Source organism: Homo sapiens, chromosome 1 (genome assembly GCF_000001405.40).
Source record: "Homo sapiens chromosome 1, GRCh38.p14 Primary Assembly".
NCBI classification, from domain to species: domain Eukaryota; kingdom Metazoa; phylum Chordata; class Mammalia; order Primates; family Hominidae; genus Homo; species Homo sapiens.
This window is the reverse complement of record NC_000001.11, coordinates 24,574,660-24,598,991: the sequence shown is the minus strand read 5'-3', so window position 1 is coordinate 24,598,991 and position 24,332 is coordinate 24,574,660. Positions and strand designations below refer to the sequence as shown.

General features: G+C 48.3%; 1 protein-coding gene across 3 annotated transcripts in view; it reads right to left on the bottom strand.

Annotated features, from left to right (window-relative positions):
* NCMAP (non-compact myelin associated protein) overlaps nucleotides 1-24,332 on the bottom strand; it is a 53,242-nt gene that overhangs the window by 10,337 nt on the left and 18,573 nt on the right. For 2 of the 3 annotated variants that reach the window (NM_001010980.5, XM_011541463.3), the window contains exon 2: nucleotides 3,480-3,568. In NM_001010980.5, the coding sequence (NP_001010980.1) occupies nucleotides 3,480-3,561 (82 nt within the window). In that variant the 5' untranslated portion in view covers nucleotides 3,562-3,568. Of the gene's footprint in view, nucleotides 1-3,479; nucleotides 3,569-9,367; nucleotides 9,543-24,332 lie in introns of those variants that run through there. The other variant, XM_005245872.4, reaches the window with a different exon arrangement.

Sequence of the window (24,332 nt, the reverse complement as noted above, 5' to 3'; positions counted from 1 at the left end):
TTTAGCTTCAAGATCAACATCCTTGTCGGAATTGATACTGAAAATATCAAGAACTGCTGGGTTTGGTGGCTCACGCCTGTAATCCCAGCACTCTAGGAGGCCGAGGCAGGCGGATCACCTGAGGTCAGGAGTTTGAGACCAGCCTGGCTAACATGGTGAAACCCCGTCTCTACTAAAAATACAAAAATTAGCTGGGCCTGGTGGTACAAGCCTGTAATCCCAGCTATTCAGGAGGCTGAGGCACGAGAATCGCTTGAGCCCGGGAAGTGGAGGTTGCAGTGAGGCAGTGAGCCGAGATGGCACCACTGTACTCCAGCCTGGGCGGCAGAGTGAGACTGTGTCTCAAAAAAGAAAAAAAAAAGAAAGAAAAGAAAAGAAAATAGAAGAGATTACATACATCCACCCAATATATATTTATATAGTATATGTTACAACCATTAAAATATGTGCATACAAGCATAATGTAGAGCAAAAGAAGCCAGATACGAAGGAGTGCATATGGTATACCTATAGGCCATTTATATAAAGTTCAAAACCAAGCAGAACTAATCGATGGTGGTAAAAGTCAGAATAGCAGGTCCCCTTGGGGGGGTGGAGGATGGTGATTAGAAGGGGAACCACGACCTCTAGGATACTGGTGGTGGCTCTCTTTTTTGATTTGGGGACTGGTTGCGCAGGTATGTTCACTTTGTGGCAATTCACCCAGCTGGGCACTTATGATTTATGCACATTTTGAATGTAAGTAATGCCTTATAAAAAGTTTACTTAAAAGCAAACAACCGTGTGCAAATATTCATAGGAAGAAACACTGGAAGGGAAGAAGCAGAGAGGGCGGGAAATCCATCATGGGGCAACTTAGGTTTTTTTCCTTCTTGGGGAGACTTTAGTTCTGGGTTTTTCAACCTCAGCTGGCTAATTCTTTGTCGGGGAGGCTGTCCTGTGCATTGCAAGATATTTAATCTTATCTCTTGCCTCTATCTACTAGATGCCAGTTGCAATGCCTCCAAGTTCCCCCCACCCCCACCAAACTGTGACTACTAAGATATCTCCAGACAATGCCAAATGGCCCCTGGTGGTAGGGTTGCCAGATAAAATCAGAATTTTCAACAAACAATGGATACCGTTTTAGTATAAGTACATCTCAAATATTGTATGACACATACTAAATAAGGATTCATTGTTTATCTTAAATTCAAATTTAACTGGGCATTCTATATTTTTATTTGCTAAATCTGGTAACCCTATCTAGCAGGGCAAAAACACCTAGTTGAGAACCAACCAATCTTTCCTTCTTTCTCTTTCTTTCTTTCTTTTTCTTTTCTTTCTTTCTTTCTTTCTTTCTTTCTTTCTTTCTTTCTTTCTTTCTTTCTTTCTCTTTCTTTCTTTCTTTCTTTCTTCTTTCTTCTCTTTTGTTTTTACAGGAGAACCTCCCCCCCTTCTCCTCCCCCTCCCCCTCCCCCTCCCCCCCCCCCTTCCTTCTCTTTCTTTTTTTGACAGTCTCTCTCTGACACCCAGGCTGGAGTGCAGTGGTGTGATCTCGGCTCACTGCAACCTCCACTTCCCAGGTTCAGGCGATTCTCATGCCTCAGCCTCCCAAGTAGCTAGGACTACAGGTATGCACCACCACACCCAGTTAATTTTTGTATTTTTAGTAGTAGAGATGGGATTTTACCATGCTGGCCAGTCTCAAACTCCCAACCTCAGGTAATCCACCCACTTTGGCCTCCCAAAGTGCTGGGATTACAGGCGTGGGCCACTGTGCCCGGCCAAGAACCACTACTTTCAGTTCAAGAAAAACAGAATTATTCTCGTCTTCCTGATAGTGATTCTCTCTACCCTGCATTTCCCTCAGGACTGTTTGGAGACACACCTCCTCAGGCCTCTGTAGGTCTGCCCACCCAGCCAGCAGCAGGATAGCCCATGGGACCCCGTCCTGGGAGCAACCCCTTCTGACTCTTCATGGAAGAGACACATCCTGCCCTTCATCCAGCCACCTGCCAGAACCACAGCCTGAAGCTGTTTATCCCTGTGTGTAGGGAAGTCTGTCCCATGCCCAGGGGTATATGTGTAGCCAGCTGAAATGGCTGACACACACCCAAGCGTCTCCTTATACCATCAATTGATTTTCTGAAGAGTCATCCTGAAATTTTTCCTTCCGGGGCCACTAGTTCACGGCAAATGCCTCCCCAGAACTCACTCTTCCCGCCTACATTCATTTACTCTTTCATCAGTTGATGGGATGTTTTTTTGCCTTGCAATATAGTATAAAAATAGCTACTTCGGATTTTTGTTTGTCTGTTTGTTTGGAGACAAGTTCTCGCTCTGTCACCCAGGCTGGAATGCAGTGGCACAATCTCAGCTCACCACAGCCTCGACCTCCCAGGCTCAAGCGATCCTCCTGCCTCAGCACCCCCCGTGTAGCTGGGACTCCAGGAGCGTCACCACCATGCCTGGCTAATTTTGGTATTTGTTGTAGACATGGTGTCTCCCCATATTGCCCAGGCTGGTCTTGAAATCCCAAGCTCAAGCAATCTGCCTGCCTTGGCCTCCCAAACTGCTGGGATTACAGGCATGAGCCACCATGCCCAGCAGTAGCTACATTTTAAGGTGACCCATTTAGAGCCATTTTATAAGAGATTCAAATTTCAGTGCTTTCTAGGTCCCAAGACTTTTTAACGAAAACAATAGCAATCGTAGTAGTAGTAATATTTTTTTGTTTGTTTTGGAGGCTCACTTTGTTGCCCAGGCTGGAGTGCAGTGGCACGATCTCAGCTCACTGCAACCTCTGCTTCCCAGGTTCAAGTGATTCTCCTGCCTCAGCCTCCTGAGTAACAGGTGCACACCACCATGCCCAGCTAATCTTTGTATTTTTAGTAGAGATGGGGTTTCACTATTTTGGCCAAGCTGGTCTCAAACTCCTGATCTCAAGTGATCCACATGCCTCAGCCTCCCAAAGTGCTAGGATTAAAGGTGTGAGCCACCACACCCAGCCAATAGTAATAAAAATAATCATCATCATTAGGTACTTAGTATGTTACCAGAGGCTGTGCTAAACTGTCAACCTGGATTATCCCCTTTAGTCATCACAACTGCCTTATGTGGTAGCTTCTTTAATATCCCCATTGTATAGATGAGGAAACTGAGGTACAGAGCAGTAAAGACATGTGCTCCATCTCAAAAAAAAAAAAAAAAAAAAAGACACAGTCCAGTCCCCATTTGCCCTTCCCTGGAAGACTCCCACTCAGACAGAAATAGCGGTTCTGTCCCCTACCCTTCCACAGCAGTGCCCTGCAAAGAAACACCACCGAGGCATATGTCCATTGCTTTGTCTGTCATTAATGCTGCAGTTGGCACGTGGCAGAACTGGGCCTGAGACCCAGGCAGTCCACCTCCAGAGCCCACACTCTTAACCTCTGCACTATGACCATGACACTGGTCCTGCCATCCTTCCCCCAGCCTCTAAGCGAATTTGACCTTACTCTTATACAGGAAGTCTTCTCCCCTGGTGGTCATGTTCAGTGAGAAGAAGGTGGTATCCCCCAGAGGGGTGGCTGTGGTCATCTCGATCCTGATGAGAAAGAAGAAGATATTTTGTTTAAAATTAGATAAATCCTTATTATTGCTACTTGATGCCTCTTTTGGTCTTTATCTGGATGACTGTAGAATATTCAAGCATGCAGTTTCTCTTGGCAGCAAGTAAATGCAAAACCCATTATTAGATACCGTGGGTGGGGATTTAATACTAATACCCGACATTTGTAAGGAACTTTGTTTTTCTAAACTGCTTAAATTTATTCAACCATATTTACTCAACTCCTTCAAATATCTGGATCAATCTCTCGAAACTATGTGAGGTGAGTTACTGTTGCCATTTTACTGGTGAAATCAAAGTCCCCAAAGCTACCTGGAGTCCCAAGTTGACCTAACAGAATTTAACCAAAGATGTCAATCAACCTCCCACTCCAGTGGGCTTTTCTCCACGCTGCAGTGACACTTGAACTGGCATTCCTACTTTCAAAGGCTTTACTATATGAGGAGGCAAAAATAAATAAATAAATAAACAGATGAAAAATTAACTATGATTTAAAAAATTTTTTTTTTACATAAAGGTCTTGCCCTGTCGCCCAGGCTGGAGTGCAGTGGTGCAATCACGGCTCTCTGCAGCCTCGACCTCCTTGGGCTCAGGTGATCTTCCCACCTCAGCTTCCTGAGTAGCTGGGACTACAGGCATGTGCCACCAAGCCTGGCTGATTTTGAATTATGATTATGAAGCAGTCAGTGACATGAGCCATTGGGCTATGAGGAACAATTTCATGGAAGAGATACAGTTGAATATGCCTTGAAAAATGGGCATGGTTGGGGCGTAAGGGGAAAGAGAACAAAGGCTGGGTTGCACAAAGCCTTCAATCGGAAGAGAGTTAATGCAGTTTGGGAATCTACCATGTACCAGGCTCTGTCTCAGGAGACTTCACACACTATATTATCGATTTAATCCTCTCAGGCACTGAGAAGTGGCTGTCATCTACACCCTCCTACTGAGCAAGCTGGGACTCAAGGTGGTTGAGTGAATCAACCGGTCATACAAGTAGGAGGTGGAGCTTGGACTCAAACACTCTCTGAGTGTACAATGTATTTTTTTACCCTGAGGCCACTAAGAATCAAAATGCACAAGGCTACAATGTTACATTTGAGGGGTGAGCCAGGACCTACACAGTTAGTATGATGTCACCACTGGAAAGAAGTTTTGAGATCCTCCACCAAGAACCATAATCTAGGCACGATGATATTATAATCACTCTGGGCCTGGCATGGTGGCTTATGCCGGTAATCTCAGCACTTTGGGAGGCTGAGGTGGGCAGATCACCTGAGGTCAGGAGTTTGAGACCAGCCTGGTCAACATGGTGAAACCCCGTCTCTACTAAAAATACAAAAATTAGCCAGGCATGGTGGTGGGTGCCTGTAATCCCGGCTACTCGGGAGGCTGAGGCAGGAGGATCACTTGAACCTGGGAGGTGGAGGTTGCAGTGAGCAGAGATTGCACCACTGCATTTCAGCCTGGGCGACAGAGTCACTCTGTCTCAAAATAAAAAATAAATAAATAAATAAATAAATAAATAAATAAATAAATAAATAATCGCTCTGAACTATAGGGGTCAAGAATATAAGGAAGCAAGCCAAGCTTGGCTTCATTATTTCCGAGTGGCACTTTTACTCCAGCTGCTGACAATTTGGAAGCCCACGAAGGGTCTACATTGAGAGAATTGCCTAGGCTTGTTTGTAATCTTAAGAAGCCATAGGCCTCAACACAGCCATCTACTGGAGAAAGAGAGATTCTGGACATTTTAAAAAATGGTGTATAAATTTATTTTCTTTTTAAAAGTAAGAAATGTTTTTTAAATTATGAAGACAAATATTACAGGAGCCCACGTACTGACCATTCACATTTAGCAAATGTTTACAGTCATGTTTTCTTCAGTTTTTCTATTTATTTATTTATTTGAGATGGAGTCTCACTCTGTTGCCCCAGCTGGAGTGCAGTGATGTAATCATAGCTCACTGCAGCCTCAACCTCCCAGGCTCAAGTAATCCTCCCACTTCAGCCTCCTGAATAGCTGGGACTACAGGCATTCACCACCATGCCTGGCTAATTAAAAAAACTCTTTTTTTTTTATAGAGGCTAGATGTCATTATGTTGCCCAGACTGGTCTCAAACTCCTGGACTCAAAGCGATCCTCCCACCTTGGTCTCCCAAAGTGCTGGGATTACAAGCATGATCCCCTATGCCCAGCCCAGTTCTTTTTTTTTTTTTCTTTTGAGGTAGAGTCTTACTCTGTCACCCAGGCTGGAGTGCAGTGGCACAATCTCGGCTCACTGCAACCTCTGTCTCCTGGGTTCAAGTGATTCTCCTGCCTCAGCCTCCCACGTAGCTGGGATTACAAGGGCCCACGACCACATCCAGATATTTTGTATTTTTAGTAGTATGGGGTTTCACCACGTTGGCCAAGGCTAGTCTCAAACTCCTGACCTCAAGTGATCCACCAGCCTCAGCTTCCCAAAGTGCTGGGATTACAGGCGTGAGCCACCTTGCTCTGTTGCCCAGGCTGGAGTGCAGTGGCATGATCACGGCTCACTGCAAGCTCCGCCTCCCGGGTTCACGCCATTCTCCTGCCTCAGCCTCACGAGTAGCTGGGACTACAGGCGCCCGCCACCACTCCCGGCTAATTTTTTTGTATTTTTAATAGAGACGGGGTTTCACTGTGTTAGCCAAGATGGTCTCGATCTCCTGACCTCATGATCCACCTGCCTTGGCCTCCCAAAATGCTGGGATTACAGGTGTGAGCCACTGCGCCTGGTCCCAGTTCTTCTTTATAAGAAAAAAAATCAGACATAGCTGAAATCCCTTTTGTATTCTATCTCAATCCTATTTCCTCTCTTCCCCAAAGTAACCACTCCCTTGACCATTAGTGTGTATTCTTATCAAAGTTTTAAAATGTTTACTACATAACATATATATTATATATATCCATAAACATTGTATATATTGTGGCTGTACATATCTATGAAACACATCTATTAAATATCAACGTGGCACCTACTAAGTGACTGATGCTGGGCTCAGTGCTGGGAGTACACAGGGAATACTAGACGAACTCCTTGCCTTGGGAAGCTCATGTTCTAGTGAGCACGACAGACTATAGGTTTGATCATATGATTCTGGGGCTCAAAAAACAATCATTTCCCCCTGTCGACACTGCAATATCCAGTAGTGAAAGCCCTTCACTCGCTGGTTCTACCCTCTGTTTCCAGCGTCTCAGCTACTCACACCACCCTCTGCCAAACTGCTGTGACAGCAGGGCACTCCCTCTTCCCCCATCATATTTGGTCTTTGCTGCCTCTGGGCTGGCTGCCCCAGGCATTGGCCTCCCCAGTCCCTGCCCAAGGTCTCTCCAGAGAGTCCTTATCTATGGGCTGCGGCTTTCCTGCTCTCCCAGCTCTGATGGAAGCAGGGGTCAGCACCCACCTTGAAACACACCCACTAGGGTCAGGCCATCTGCATTCCAGCTCAGGGCTCTGGTGGCAGTGGCCTGCCCCGGGGGCTTCACAGGGTCAGAATGGCCTCTGTGGCCTGGCCCTGTTAATCTATAAGGTGGGCTCTGCCTCTCCCTTCTCTGTGCTCCCTTAATCCGGGGCCCTGCCTAACCCTCCCTAGCTCTTGTCTACCCCTCCTTCCAAAGACCAGACCCTCCGGACTCCCAGACTCAAGCTCCCACCAGGAACCCCGTGTGGCTCTGCCTGACCTCCCCACTCCTGCCACTCTGTCTCCCTGCCTGGGCTTCCTGTCTCCCAACACCTGAAACAGGCCCAGGCTAGCCATGCCCTATTGCTCCCCAAGAAAAAGAGCGTAGCCTTCAAGACACGGCCCAGGCCAGGCACGGTGACTCATGCCTGTAATCCCAGCACTTTGGGAGGCTGAGGTGGGCAGATTACTTGAGGTCAGAAGTTTGAGGCCACCCTGGCCAACATGGTGAAACCACATCTCTACTAAAAATACAAAAACTAGCCGCTTGTGGTGGTGCACGCCTATAGTCCCAGCTACTTGGGAGGCTGAGGCAGAAGAATCGCTTAAACCTCCAGGAGGTGGAGGTTGTAGTGAGCCAAGATTGCGCCACTGCACTCCAGCCTGGGTGACAGAGTGAGAGTCCATCTCAAAAAAAAGACACAGCCCAGTCCCCAGTCGCCCCCCAAGGAAGACTCCTACTCATACTGAAATAGAGATTCTGTCCCCTACCCTCCCACAGCAGCTCCCTGCAAAGAAACATCACCAAGGCATGTGTCCACTGCTTTGTCTGCCATTAATGCTACATTTCATTGTCAGGTCCTTGAGGATGGAGACTATTTCTTGTTCTTTCTCATATCCTTTTACCTTCCTCAGATAAAGTGTCTGGGTCTTCTCTCCTTCGCCGTGCAAGGGCTGGAATGAGTAACTGAATTTCTCCCAGCTTCATTTGCTCATCTGTAAAACGAACTGCCTCTCCCTTTCCCTAAGGGAGCTGAGAGTGAGAAGTGGGGTATGGAAAGTGTTTTTCAGTGTTCACTAAATGGCAGCTCTAAGTATTATAGTGAATATTAGTAAATATTTGCTGAACTAACTTAGAGACAGGGAAATCTGGAGCTGAAAACTAGGAGACATTCTTTCTATAAAAATAAGCACAAATTAGCCAGCCTGGTGGTGGTGTGTGCCTGTAGTCCCCACTACTTGGGAGGCTGAGGAAGGAGGATCACTTGAGCCCAGGAGTTTGATGGCACAAACTACAGTGAGCCATGATGGCACCATTGCATTCCAGCTTGGGTGACAGAGCAAGACCTTGTCTCTAAAACTAAATAAATATAATAAAATTTTAAAAGCACAGACAAGTATGAGAATTTGGAATGAAAGCCTTTCCCACCCAGCACTGCCCACCTCTACTCTCAAGGGGAGATGCCGGCCCTGCCTCAGTACGTGAAGGGTATTAGCATGCATTTCCCTAAACCTTCTCCTTCTAGCCTCACCAACATCAAGCTAAGAAGACTCACCAGTGAGGCTTTCATACAATTCCTTTTAAATACAGAAAAGAGATACAAATAGGTGGCTGCGGATCAAGGTTTGCTTAGTGAGAGAGACATGGAACAATCATTGGCCAACCCAAACCCATGGACATATTCACCGTGATACCAACACGCACAAAAATGACAGAAGCCACCATTTGAGTGTTTGCCGTGTGCCAAGACCTTGTGACAGATATTTTCTATCCATGCCCTGATTCAACTAGCAAAATGCCATGTAAGATAAGTTTTCCTTTCCCCTTCTCTCAAATGAAGACCCTGAGACTTGATAATATAAAGCCAACTCTCAGCCGGGTGCAGTGGCTCACACCTGTAATCCCAGCACTTTGGGAGGCCAAGGCGGGTGGATCACTTGAAGTCAGGAGTTTGACACCAGCCTGGCCAACATGGAAAATTAGCCAGGTGTGATGGCAGTTGCCTGTAATCCCAGCTACTCTTGAGGGAGGCTGAGGCAGGAGAATTGCTTGAACCCGGGAGGCAGAGGTTGCAGTGAGCTGAGATCTCACCATTGCGCTCCAGCCTGGGTGACAGAACAAGACTCTGTCTCAAAATAAAAATAAAAATAAAAACATAAAGCTAACTATCCACACTTACGTAGCCCCAAAGCTACAGAGCTGGTTTGTGAACCTGGGTGTTGCATGTGGCAACGTCTGCATCCTTCCTACCACACCACCCTGTCCCTGACACACACTGGTGGGGTCTATGACCAGTCACTGCAGGAATACATGGAGGCACACACATGCACACACATACACACACTGACCAGTAATGCAGCCACCTAAGGCCACCAGGACACAGGCTCCTCTACAGGTCCTGCAGGGGTGACCTCCTGGGTGCCGAGTTCCAGGTGCAGACTGTCTTTTGGATGGGCCCAGTAGCTCTTCTCTCTCAGAGAACAGTGAGGAATCTCAGAGCATATCTTGCCTCATCTCGGGACTGAGGGCTCTCAATTGCATCTCTGTCCCTGCTGCATCAGAGAAGGTGGGAGGGAGGGTGGTAGCACAGCCATGGCCAAGCATGTGGGTGTTTTCATGTGTGGGGCCCCAGCAACAGTTGTTAACCAAGTGAGGGCCAGCAGGAGCACTTCAGTATCAAACGTCCCTAAGACCAGGGGCCATGACCATAGAAAACACAAAGAGGACAGGGAGAGGGAGGCCAGTCTTCACTGACAGAGGTTAATTTAATAATAATAATAATGCGCTATGTGTCCGGCACCGCACTCGGTGCTTTATGTTGGAGATCTCACTTAATCTTCATACCAGTCCTGTAAGGAGGGCACAGGCACTTTGTCCATTCTGAAGATGAGGAATCTGAGGCTTGGAGCAGAGAAGAAACTGCCTTAACTTCACAAGGCTAATATGAAAACTATGCCAACCATGCCAGGATTCAAACCAGGGTCTATCCGATTTCACAGCCCCTTCTTCAAAAACCCTCCCAGCAAATCCACAAAGCACAGGTGGCCCAGCATCCAGGGCCCAAATCAATGTGGGGCTTTGATGAAAAAACCCACACAGGCCAGGGTTCAGCAGACAGACGAGGGCCCTTGCCCCAGGCCTATGACCCTGACCCTGACTCCTACCCAACTACTCCTGCCCTTGGCCACACTCTGAGCCTCTGTGTTCAGCAGAGCCTCGATCACATTTACAGAATCTACAAGGGACTGTTGTTTTCTTGGGTTGTTTACAAAGGCCTGTGTGGGAGGCGAGTTTGGGAAGTGATGGCAGGTCATAACCATTTATTCACGGATCCATCCTTCTCTGACTAGCTCTTGGCCAAGTCTAAGAGCTGAATGTGGAAGATAAACGCTGTCAGACTCCCACCTGTCCAAAATATCTCCCCTGAAGCTCTGCCCTAGGGGTACCCCCTCTCCCTCTGGCCTGGCTTACAAGTTCCTCCCTGGATAAGACAATAGAGAGACTACCAACCCCGGCAGACCTCTCCTCAATTGACCACCTGTAACTCAGAGCAGGTAACCCACGAAAGCCCTCGACCCACCAAAACATTGGGATTGATTTCTCCCAATCTCCTGAGGGATGGGAGATTCAGCAGGACTTGATCTCCTCCACAGACAAGTGGCTCACTACTCCCAAGCAGCTCCTGGAGATATTGGGATGTTTTAATGGTCAGAAAATTGACCCTAAGGCCAGGTGTGGTGATGTGAACCTGTAATGATAGCTACTCGGGAGGCTGAGGTGGGAGATTCGCTTGAGCCCAGGAGTTTGAGGCTGCAGTGAGCCATGATCAAGCCACTGCACTTCAGCCTGGGTGACAGAGCAAGATACCATCTCAAAAAATTAAAAGGAAAAGAAAATTGAGTCTTTTCCTCTCAGAAGTCCCATCTTTCTCACTAAAGACAGAGCTGTTTTCCTTTCTGTTTCTTTCTCTTTCTTTTGCCTATTAAACCTCCGCTCCTAAACTCCTAAAAAAAAATAAAAGAAAAAATAAAAGAAAAAGAAAATTGACCTTCATATTGGCATCTTGTAATTTTTACTTATTGGTGCAAATTATCTCTCCACAAAGGTAAATCTGCTACCTCTTCTAAGTGAAAACCTGTCAGGATTAAGAGCACTTTTCTGGTGGGGAGTGGTGGCTTATGCCTATAATCCCAGCATTTTGGGAGGCCGAGGTGGGTGTATTGCTTGAGCCCAGGAGTTCGAGACCAGCCTGGACAACATGGTGAAACCTCTTCTCTACAAAAATACAAAAATTAGCCGGGCATATTGGTGTGCACCTGTAGTCTTAGCTACTTGGGAGGCTGAGGCTGGAGGATTGCTTGAGCCTGGGAGGCAGAGGCTGCAGTGAGCCAAGATCATGCCACCACGCTCCAGCCTGGGTGACAGAGTGAGTCCCTGTAAAAAAAAGAAAAGAAAAGAAAAGAAGGCACCTTTGACCTTTGTGCATGAAAGGTTCAATTCAAACTTTCACCGATGGAACAGAGCAGTTGGGGTAGCTGGTATCACCACATCAATGTTACCTCCCACCAATAGGTGGCGATAGTAGTTGTCTGTAGGTTGGTAACCATCCTGCGAAGCCAATCTGTTTTTAAGCAGAGGAGCTTTCTGCCCTTCAAAACACCAATTGTATGTCCTCTGACGATTTTCTTCTCTGGGGTAAATATTCTCAGCTCCTTCAAACAAGCCTTCGGGTGATGGTGTCCCTCATGGGTTCCTCATTCCTCTGTGTCAAGGACTCCCCTAAGAATGACCCCAAAACTGGACACATGACTCCAGAGGGGGGCTGACATGTTCAGAATGACAGTTTTCTTGATACTTATCAGATGTGAGCCTGAATTCTGCTATTTACTAGCTGTGTGACCTTGGCCAACTTTCTTCACCTCTTGGTTTTCTGGTCTGTGAAATAGGAATTATAAAAGTCACAACTCCATAGGGTTGTTGTGAGAATTAAATGAGATGAAGCATGTCCTATACTCAGCACAGTGCTGTACACAATATCTATCGATATTACCCTGGATTGATAAAAAGAAATAGCTCACTGGCCTTACAGGCAGCCACAGCACACCTGCTGAAAGATGGCCCCCAACTCTTTTTCACATTTATCCTTATGCTCGTTAATGGCCAATCAAAGCCCCAAGATCACCAAGTGAAGGTGCTTTTTTTTTTTTTTTTTTGAGATGGAGTCTCACTGTTACCCAGGCTGGAGTACAGTGGGACGATCTCAGCTCACTGCAACCTCCGTTTCCCGGGTTCAAGTGATTCTTCTGCCTCAGCCTCGCAGAATAGCTGGGAGTACAGGCACCTGCCACCACGCCCAGCTAATTTTTGCATTTTTAGTGGAGACTGGGTTTCACCATCTTGGCCAGACTGGTCTTGAACTCCTGACCTTGTGATCCGCCCTCCTCGGCCTCCCAAAGTGCTGGGATTACAGGCGTGAGCCACCGTGCCCAGCCGTGAAGGAACTTTATAAACTGCAAAGTGGAAAGAGAGCGGCAGTGACAGTCGCATGATGACAATATCATGATGGTCTGCTGTCCATTCGCCAGGACTCCATTCTGCACTTGTGCAGATGACTTCCTGACAATCAGGACTTTGCATTGATCCCTGTTAGCCTTGACCGTGTTGATTTGGACCCTCAGGAGAGACATTTCCGCTCCTCCTGGGTGGCTAAATGACAGTGCTGTGACACAGCACATTGTCTCGGGGCTCATGACCCAGCAAGGGCTTTGGGGTTGCCTAGACCTGGATTTTCATCTTTGCCTCATCACTGACCAGCTTGATAAACTGAGCCGCTCTTTCATTTGTAAAACAGGGATAACAGCCCCTGTCTCGTGGGGTTGTGAGAATAAATGAGATACCATAATTGCCCAACAGAGTGCCTGGAGTGCTCATGCCAGTTCCCAGCCCTTCTTCGCTTCTCCCTGGCTCCAGTCTGTGTTCTCCCTGCTCTCTTTGGAGCTTGAATTCCTTGTTCTCTGTCTGGTCAAGTTTTGGGCTGCATTTGGTCAAACTCAGGTATAAACAGGGAGGTGAGGGAGTCAGACCATGAACGCTGGTGTCCCAAGGAGGGGATCTGAGCAGGGATTCACCAGGACCTCTGAAGGACCTGATCTTCCTCTCCATCTCCACTGAGAGCAGAGACAGAAGAAATAGTGAAATCTCCCCCAAAGAGAAAAAAGTCCTGATGGGACCGGTGGGACACAGGGGCTGTGGCTGGGCAGGGGAAGAGCAAGCTGTGGATTCATAACCTGAGACTCGGAAGACCAGGATTTCCCTTGTCACTCATTTGCTACCTGATCCTGGAAAGTCCTCTCCCTTCCCTGGACCTTGGTTTTCCTGCCTGTAAAATAGCCCAGTTTGGAGATCATCTCTAAGGGCTTTTCCAACCAGTGATTCTGTTACATGGAACTGTTCATAGCTTCACAAGAACCAGTGTCTTCCAAAAGCTTATTCTTCTTTGTAGATATGGACTCAGGGGATGTGAGGAGAGGGAAGTCAGCGTGAGCACATCACTCTGGAAAGCAGCGATCCTTCCTAGAAGGCACTAGAGACTGGAACAAACCGAGGCAGATTCCATGAAGGGGCTTTGATTTGGCAACAGCAGTGCACAAGAAAGGAAACCCGGGAATGAACTTCCAAGCACTCTGTAGGGTACATAGTCACCCGAGCCGCCTGAATCCTTCATGGCCATTTCCTTCACCCTCTATTCCTCTTGGATCCCTTATCATAAGCTCCCCACCCCGTCTGCCCTGTCTGTTCATGGCTCTGTGTATCACAGCTCCCAAAGTTGGGGTAGGAATTCTGCCGTGTGCTCCCCTGAACTGGAGGCCATACACAATTACATACTGAACATGTGTTCCTTGTAGTTGGTTCCCAGAAATAAGGGAGCACATTTTCTGCTCCATTTACCCATCTATTCTTTCATCCTGCTATCCACTCATGCCCCCACCCACCCACCCGCCCACCCACTCACTGGGCACACAGTCCTTCCACCCGTTCTTCTGTCCATCTGTCCTCCCATCCATTCAATCAATGCCCACCCTGTGCATAGGACTGAGAAGACGCAAAGAGGGCCGTGGGTCTGTTTTAAACCAAAGAACAATACATAAATAAATAAAATAAAAACCAAAAAACCAGAGGGGCCAAGGGGATTATGTCCTGAGGAACTCAGACCGAAAGAATGAGAAAAGGAATTGTTTCCTTTCAGAATCTTTTCTTCAATCACATGTACTGGGCATCAACCCCACCCCACCGCCCACCCCATGCCTAGCCCAGCACTGACCACAGAAAGGTGCCTGATCAATATCATACTGCAGTCCTATGGCAAAAGCCGCAGCCTGTGGCTCCAGAAGTCTGGGTTTCAGGCCCACCACACACAGACTTCAGGGGAAGTCTTACTTCCCCACCCTGTCAAACGGTGGCTCAGATGTCCTTTGCTCTGATTTTTGTGACCCACATTGTAAGAAAAGGGGACTCCAGGAGCTTCTAACCCAAGACCTGCAGATATGATAAGCTGAGTGTGCTAAGAGTTATAAATAGAAACCCCAGCTGAAAGTGGTCACAAGGCTTACTTTGCTGGTGCCAAAAGGGTGGCACACACAGTGCCAGAAGTCGGTGGGAGGAAGAGACCCGTGGACATTGTGGTGGAGATTGACTGAGAGCTAGAATGTGACCTGTGGCTTCCGTCTACCTCTCAGTCTCTGGGCTCAAGCCAAGGACCCAACTCTTGAGAGTCCTCGACCTCCATAGGAGCTCCCATGTAAATCTCCAGGTGTCCCGCTGTCCCTGTGGGGCGGGGGGAGGGCACAGGGTTAATGGGTTTATGCCCCTCAGTGAATATGTCAGAGGATAATAATGCCACCTCGATATTCTAGGCCAGGAGGGAAGGAAGCCCACACTCAAGCAGACCCTATGCAAGTGCCAGGCACTGTGCTTTCACATGCTTCCCCATTCAATCCACACAGCGAGGCAGGTCTTTTCATCTCCACTGTGCTGATAGGAAACGGAGGCTCAGAGAGGTTAAGGGACTTGCCCAAAATCTAACAGCAGGTCAGTGGAGGAGCTGAGTCTCAAACTCAGATCTCCTACTCCAAACCGTCCTCGGCAATCCTGGTCCCCGGGAGGTAAGCAGTATTCCTGGGGACACTCTGATGGTCAGTGACCCTGCTAGGGAAGGATTCTGCTCACCTGCTCACTTTTTTTTTTTTTTTTTTTTTCTGAGACGGAGTCTTGCTCTGTCACCCAGTCTGGAGTCCAGTGGCGTGATCTCAGCTCACTGCAACCTCCACCTCCCGGGTTCAAGCAATTCTCCTGCCTCAGCCTCCTGAGTAGCTAGGATTACAGATGTGCGCCACCACACCTAGCTAATTTTTTGTATTTTTAGTAGAGATGGGGTTTCACCCATGTTGGCCAGGCTGGTCTCGAACTCCTGACCTCAGGTGATCCGCCCGCCTTGGTCTCCCAAAGTGCTGGGATTACAGGCATGAGCCACCGTGCCTGGCAACTCTCTGCTCACTTTTCTTTCTACCTGTTGATATTTTGAGCCCAAGAGGTACAGCCAGGCCTCAGAGTATGGCAGAGTTTCTCATCCTTGGTACTACTGACATTCAGGCCAGGTAATTCTTTGGTGTGAGGGGCTGTCCTGTGCATTATAGGATATTCAGCACCATCGCAGCATCCTTGGCCTCTCTGCTCACTAGATGCCAGTAGCATCCCACCAGTTAGAACAACCAAAAATGTTACAGGACATTTCCAAATGTCCTTGGGAGACAAAATTTTCTCTGCTTGAGAATCACTGGAGTAGAGCTATTTGGCCTGCCTCTTAACAGTTTCCTATTCTCCCTATCCAAGAAGAACTAGATAAGAAGGAAAATGTCCAGTCTGTTTTCATACCTGTGGATAAACAACCAATAACCATGATGATGACGACGATGGCGATGACCAAAAGCACAATTACTGCCATTGATCAAGTGTCTTTTACGTGCCAGTTACCATGCCAAGTACTTTGTATATGTTTTCTCCATATATTATTCCTATTTTACAGACATAGGAGCTGAGGCTCAGAGAAGTTAGGAAACTTGCCTGAGGCATCTGTGCTGATACATGGCAAAGCTAGGATCTATACGTTTCCTATTGCTGCTCTAACAAATTATTGCAAATTTAGTGGCTTAAAACAACACACATTAATCTTCTTTCAGTTTAAGAGGTCAGAATTCTAAAGTTGGCCTTAGTGGGCTAAAATCAAAGTGTTAGCAGGGCTGTGTTCCTTCTGGAGGCTCTAGGGGAGAATTCATTTCTGGGCCTTTTCTTGCAAGCTGCCTGCATTCCTTGGCTCGTGGTTTCTTCCTCCATCTTCAGACCAGCAGCGTAGCATCGTCTTACCTCGCTCTCTCTGATCTCTGCTTCCATCATCACATCTCTTCCTCTCTCTGTGACCCTCCTGCCTCTCCCTTATAAAGAACCTTACGATGACATTGGGCCCACTCAGCTAATCCAGGATAATCTCCCCACCTCAAAGTCATGAACTTAATTACATCTGCAAAGTTCCTTTTGCTGTGCAAACTAACATATTCTGAGGTTTGGGGGATTAGGATGAGGATGTTTTTGGGAGGCCATTATTCAGCTTCCTACATAGGAGTTGGGCTCTTATCTGTCTGATCCCAAGGTGTGCACTCTGAATCCACTCCTGCTTCATCTACACTGCCTTTACACGCAGACACACAGGCCAAGCACCACGGGAGGCACTGAGGTGGATCCGATGTGTGCAGGGGGTGGTCGGCACGAGCAACGAATCAGGAGGTTGCGCATGAGAAGGGCTGTGAGAGACGGACAGAGAAAGAGTCCTGGAGCCGCTAGGCCAGCTGGGGTAGGGGAATAGGGAGTGGGCTCAAGAGGCAACTGGGCAGGCCTGATTCCTTCCCTGCTGAGCAAGCTGATTTCATGTAAGTCTTAGCACCAACTTACCTCTAACTTCACTTCAAAGGTATCCATAGTTCATCCTGTCCTGAAGGACCGGTCCAGCCCAGCCCCTGCCAGCCAGAATTCTATCCCATCTGTGGGATTTATTTGCCTAGTTAACTCATAACCAATCTCAAATCTTCCTTTCCAGAGTTCCTCCCTGCCAAGGGCTTAGAAGGTCTTTGGTCTTGTAAGGACTTTAGTCTTGTAAATGTCTACTAAAGTAGACTGTCTGCTTTAGGCCCCTCTCTGGCCAGTTCTGATTTGCAAGGATGTCTTTCAGCTGTCTGGCCCCTCCATGAGCCTCATCAATCCCTTTACAGACTAGAGGAAGTGCGCTGGGTTGGTTAGCTGGGCTCTCTTTCCCAGACAGGCAGAGCCTTGGACTTCTCCCAGCGACTCTCAGTCCGTGCAGTAACTTAGGGTGGTTTCTCTAGGCTACTGAACACAATGAATTTCCTGCCTGCAGGGAACTTACAGGTAAGAAGGATGAATTCCGGTTGGCCTTATCTTGACATAAACAAAGTTTGGGATACATCTTTTAAACAAAAGAAAGCAGGGGCCGGTCACAGTGGCTCATGCCTGTAATCCCAGCATTTTGGGAGGCCAAGGCAGGTGGATTACTTGAGGCCAGGAGTTCGAGACCAGCCTGGTCAATATGGTGAAACCCCATCTCTACTAAAAATACAAAAATTAGCCAGTCGTGGTGGCGGGTGCCTGTAATTTCAGCTGTTTGGGAGGCTGAGGCAGGAGAATCGCTTGAACCTGGGAAGTGGAGGTTGCAGTGAGCCAAAATAGCACCACTGCTCTCCAGCCTGGCATCGCAGCGAGACCTCGTCTCAAAAAAAAAAAAAGCAGAAAGGACTTCTGGCTGGTTCAGCAAACTAGATGGAGCACGACTATTCATCTCTGCTTCATCCTGAACCCCCTGGCACATGACAGTGAAGGAATCAAGAATCAAGAGGCGTCAACTCTCAAGGCCAAAGGGTACAGAAGAGAAAACAACCACACTGGAGAGACGCCAATCCAGGTTTGAAAGCCGGAAAAGCCGACGGCTGAGTATGACTTAACAGCCTGGAAAAGGCAAAGGCCTAAACCTACAGACTAGGAAACCAATTAAAGCTGATTGCACTGAAGAAGCCCCCCAGACTCAGGAGTGAGTGGTGACAGAGATCACCAAACGTCAGGGTGCCAGGTGGGGCTAAACAGAGGAAGACTGCCTGGGCGCAGTGGCTCACGCCTGTCATTCCAGCACTTTGGGAGGCTGAGACGGGCGGATCACCTGAGGTCAGGGGTTTGAGACCAGGCTGGAACTTGACAAAACATGGTGAAACCCTGTCTCTACTAAAAATACAAAAATTAGCCAGGTGTGGTGGTGCATGCCTGTAGTCCCAGCTACTCAGGAGGCTGAGGCAGGAGAATCGCTTGAACCTGTGAGGCGGAGGTTGCAGTGAGCTGAGATCGCACCACTGCACTCCAGCTTGGTGACAGAGCAAGACTCCATCCCCCCACCCAAAGAAAGAGGAAGACAAAAGTTAAGGCGCAGCTCCACTCTGCCCCCCTCCACCCCTTCCCTCCGTCCTCACCACTGTGGGCCTCCTCCACCCTGCAGAACAGAGTGAGTTCTGCCCCCGTCTGCAGAGGCAGCCAGGAGGAGGTAACCCTGCACTGCCTGACATGATAGCCACATGTAGCCATGGCAAGTTAAAGAAAAATTAATTACACTTAAATACAATTAAGAATGTAGTGTCTCCGTTGCATTAGCCACATTTCAGCTGCCCAGTACCCGCCGTGGCTGGTGGCTCCCGCATTGGACAGCACAGGATGGTGTCAAGTCATTTTGGGCAGTGCTGCCGCAGGCTGTGGCCCTCACAGTGTGGTCCATGGATCAGCAGCACCGGCAGCTCTGGCGCTTTGTTGGGAATGCAGAATCTCAGCTCCACTCAGGCCTGCTAGCCAGAACCTACCCCTCGGCCAGACCCCAGGAGATTCATAGGCACATTTGTCTGGGAAGCTCAGCTCTGCCAAAGGCTAATCTCTGGCTGAAAATGGGAATGTCAAAGCCTAGGCTCTGGGAAACAGACCAGCCAAAGGGAATAGACCTACAGATACTGATTGACTAGAGAATCTTCTAATACAATGGCCAGGTTCTGTCCAGTCGGCCTATGGAGAGGCTGCTAGTTGACAAGCTCTGCCCACCTCACCTAGAGTTTTGAACGGATTTTTGTTTCCTTATTTATTTATTTTTGAAACAAGGTCTCACCCTGTTGCTCAGGCTGGAGTGCAGTGGTGCAAATCATAGCTCACTGCAGCCTTGAATTCCTGGACCTAAGTGCAGCCTCCTGAGCAGCTGGGACTACAGGTGTGCACCACCATGTCTGGCTAACTTTTTTAATTTTTAGTTTTGTAGAGATGGGTCTTGCTATGTTGCACAGGCTAGTCTTGAACTCCTAGACTCAAGTGATCCTCTGGCCTCAGCCTCCCAAATTGCTAGGATCACAGACATGAGCCACCACCCCCAGCCTATGTCTTACTCTTAAATAGGAACAGATAGCCAAGGAGAGGAGAAAAGACCTTTGAGAGGAGAAAAGCCCCAAGCATGACAGACAGCAAACAAAACAATGAACAGATGGAGGCATTTAAGGCAAGTAGAGACAATGCACAGAGAAGAAGAAAACATTGATATATTCAGACAGCTAAGATATTGCATCTATAAAACAAGAACAGGATGCTATGAGAAAGGACACTTTTGGGCATGAAGTCTTTAAAAAAAAAAAAACCCCCACCCTACCCCATGCACCTTTTCCCAGGAAGCCCCTGGAGGATGCACCCACTAAAGTGAGCGAGGGGTGAAGCAAGAGAAGGGCAGGGATTCCAGGGACCAGGGGCTCCAGCCTCCAGTAGGAAGGAGCAAGAAGATGCCGAGGTCCGCGCTGCCGGGCACAGTCTGCGGGTAACCAGCCTGACTGGGGTGGGGGAGGTTCTGTCAGCCAAAGAAAAAATGAAACCTGTAGATTTTCTGATGTGTTTGTCTAGATGGAAAGGAGATCTACTCTTCTCTTCTGTTGGAGAGTTTGCCGGATGAGTTTATGATAGAAAACAAAGCTCTCAGTCAGGTGTAGTGGCTCTTGTCTGTAATCCCAGCACTTTGGGAGGCTGGGGCAGGAGGATTGCTTGAGGCCAGGAGCTTGAGGCCAGCTTGAACGGTATAGTGGGACCCAATCTCTACAAGAAATAAAAATAAAAATTTGCTGGGCATGGTAGCATGTGCCTGTAGTCCCAGCTATTTAGGAGGCTGATGTGGGAGGATCACTTGAGCCCAGGACGTTGAGGCTGCAGTGAGCTGTGATTGTACCACTGCACTCCAGCCTGGGAGACAGAGCAAGAAACCGTCTCAAAAAAAAAAAAAAAAAAAAGAAAGAAAGAAAAAGAAAACTAAGCTCCCTCCCCCAACAGGCTTAGGGATTAAAACTCCTCCTTTCTATTCCAGCTACCCTCCCTCCCACCCCACTCCCAATTTCTCTTCACCACACCACACACCCTCTGTGGAGGCTCTAGGAAGCAACTCCGTGTCCCAGGATCCTGGAGACCCCAGTTGGAAAACTCCTGTGTCCATTGCCCTCTCTTCTACAAATGGGGAGACTGAGGGCCAGCAAAGCCCCCGGGAGCACATAGACAGAGGAAGGTTCATTGGTAGTTTATTTGGTACAATTTTTTTTTTTTTTTTTTTTGAGACAGTGTCCCACAGGCTGGAGTGCAATGGCATGATCTTGGCTCACTGCAACCTCTGCCTCCCAGGTTCTCGTGCCTCAGCCTCCTGAGTAGCTGGGATTACAGGCACATGCCACCATGCCTGGCTAATACTTTTGTATTTTTAGTACAAACAGGGTCTCACTATGTTGCCCAGGCTGGTCTCCAGCTCCTGGCCTCAAGTGATCCACCCGCCTCAGCCTCCCAAAGTGCTGGGATTACAGGCGTGAGCCATTGTGCCTGGCCTATTTGGTACATTTTTTAGACCTCTTTTCTAATTCATTCAAAACAAAATGCGCAACAGCAGCAGCAAGAACCAAACCACCCCTAAAGGAGCCATGGCCGGGAGGCGACTTGTAAGACCCCCGACCCCCGGCCCATGCATCTCTCCTTTAAGCTTTCCTCGCAACCACCCTGCTGTCGTAAGGCACTAAGTCTCCCAAAAGCTCGAACTGAGGTTTCCGAGTCACTTCATAGTCACCTACAAAAAGCAAGACTATGTAGATGTAGTTAATATCTATGCCATGAACAGGGCAACTGAAAACTTCTGAGAAAAAAAATTGGGGATGGGAGTGCAGGAAAAAATTCAACTCCAAATGAGTGCCAGCAATCTCTTTGGAACCAAGTGTGTTGACTTCCAGAACCAAGGCCAGGCCGGGCATGGTGGTTCAAGCCTGTAATCCCTGCACTTTGGGAGGCCGAAGTGGGAGGATCACTTGAGGCCAGGAGCTGGAGGCCAGCCTGGGCAACGTAGTGAGAACCCATCTCTACAAACGAAAAACAAACAAAAAAACCAAAAAAAAAAAAAAAAAAAAAAAAAAAAAACAAGGCCAGTGCCTTCTTAGAAACTCCAAAAATCTGAATTTATCCCTAATGGATCTTTCAGTGGTCTCGCTTTTGTTTCTCTGTCTCTTCCTCTGCCTTATCCAAGGGCTTGGCTAACCACAAAGTGTTTGTTATTAATGAGTTAAGGATGACAATTCTCTGGGAGTATCTGCATTTTAATATGAAATTCTAGGAAATCTAGTGCTCTATAATTTTAGCATGTGACATCCTTTTTATTTTTTATTTTTATTTTTATTTTTTTTGAGACGGAGTCTCACTCTGTCGCCCAGGCCTGGAGTGCAGTGGCGCAATCTTGGCTCACTGGAACCTCTACCTCCTGGATTCATGTGATGCTTCTTCCTCAGCCTCACGAGGAGCTGGGATCACAGGCATGCACCACCACGCCCAGCTAATTTTTTTGTGTGTGTGTGCTTTTAGTAGAGACAGGATTTCGTCATGTTAGCCAGGCTGGTCTTGAACTCCTGACCTCAGGTGATCCACCTGCCTCAGCCTCCCAAAGTGCTGGGATTACAGGTGTGAGCCACTGTGTCCTGTGTAACATCCTTTCTTTGAGTCCCAAGGTCTTGGTCTATGGGGCTCACTACCTCACCTACTTAACACGGCCATCTTGAAAACTCCAACAGAGAGGCCTGAGATGGGGGGCAAGAACCCTGGGCTGGAGTTAGGAATCCTGGGTTCTAGTCTCACCCCTGTTACTTACTTTCTGTGTGACCTGGGGCAGGCCACTTGTTCTGTCTGGACTGCAGTTTGCCCTCCTGCAAACTGAACAGCTGGGGACCAGGGACCTCCCTCTCTGGCCCCTTCCTCCTTGTGACTCTTCCAGCCTCTCACTTGGTTCAGGACACCCTCCCCGAGGCTTGTTTGCCTCCACACCCTCCATTCCAGAAGGAACACCCCTCCCCTTTCCTGCCAAGCCTGGGCCTGGCAGCCGCTGGACTCCAGAGAGGACAGGAGTTGGGGAAACAATCCCAGCCGTTCAAGCTGCCCACGGTGTGAGCTGGCCAGTGGCCAGTCACAATAGGCCCAAAGATACAGAGGGGCGTTTGTCTGGGGGACCTGCGGTGTCATTTAAACCTACACTCTCGTCTTGGCCTGCCGCCTGTCTTTTCTTCCCACCCTCTCAAGCAGCAGTGCCAGCCCCCAGCTTTGTCAGGAGGTGGGATGTGGATGCCGCACAGACCTAAGTGGCCTTTCTGTGGCTGGGAAACTGGACCAAGAAAGGCAGGTCGGGGGACAGGCAGGGGAGCCATCTGTGCAGGGTGGCAGTGGTGAGGGTGGAGGATGGGGACAGCGAGGGAGGGCAGGAGAAGCTCTGGACGGGGCAATGCGGCTGTGCAGAGAGGATCAGGATGAGGGAGCTAGTTCTGACTCCTTCACTAACTAGCCAAGTTACTGTGGGCAAGGCGCTTTCTTCTCCTCTCCAGGACTTAGTTTCCTCATTTTTTTTTTTTTTTTTTTTTTTTTTGAGAGTGCAATGGTGCGATCTCGGCTCATTGCAACCTCCGCCTCCTGGGTTCAAGCAATTCTCCTGCCTTAGCCTCCCAAGTAGCTGGAATTACAGGCACATGCCACCACGCCCGGCTAATTTTGTATTTTTAGCAGAGACGGGGTTTCACCATGCTGGTCAGGCTGGTCTCAAACTCCTGACCTCAGGTGATCCAGCCGCCTCGGCCTCTCAAAGTACTGGGATTACAGGCATGAGCCACCACGCCCGGGCAGTTTTCTCAGTTTTAAAACGGGGCAATTGCTCCTAATCTGTGAGGACTGGGTTAAATACAGTGATGAGCTTGCAAATGCCAAGTGTGGCTTGGCGAAGACAAGGGTTTGGGCTCAGATGGACCTAGGTTCAGATTCTGCCTCTGTCACCTTTAAAATCACTGTTGTAGACAAATTATTCACCCTCCAGGAGCCTCATTTCCTCATCTGGATTGTAAGGATCAAATAAGAGCTGACAGAAAGCACCCTGCCCAATAAACCTGTCTGAACGAATGAAGACTCAGTCGGGTGCATTATGACTTCTGTGGGGCTCTCCCAGCGTAATACATTTTCGTGGGCTCTAAAAATTTTATTTTTTTTCCAACCCGAGGGAAAAAAACTGAAACTTTTTTGCTGCTCTAAAAGTTCTTTCCCCTGCTTGATTTTAAAGAAATTAAAACATCTTTTTTTATCTGAGACAAAGTCTCACTCTGTCGCCCAGGCTGGAGTGCAGTGGCACGATCTCGGGTCACTGCAACCTCCGCCTCCCAGAAATTAAAACATCTTAATGGGCCCTTAAAAGTATTATGGGCCTTGGCCAGGTGTGGTGGCTTATGCTTGTAATCCCAGCACTTTGGGAGGCCAAGGCTGGCGGATCACCTGAGGTCAGGAGTTCAAGACCAGCCTGGCCAACATGTTGAAACCGCATCTCTACAAACAAAAATTAGCCAGGCATGATGGTGGTGCCTGTAATCCCAGCTACTTGGGAGGCTGAGGCGGGAGAATTGCTTGAACCCGGGAGGCAGTGGGTGCAGTGAGCCGAGATCATGCCATTGCACTCCAGACTGGGCGACAGTGTGAGACTCCGTCTCAAAAAAAAAAAAAAAAAAAGTATTGCGGGCCTTGTCTACTGTGCCTCGTGCTCCTGGTACTGCTGGTTCAGGGTTCTCTCAGAGCTGACCTGTCCTGGACACCGTCTCCAGTGTCTACTGGGCCCCTGATGTTGTCTCTGAAGAATCTGCTGTG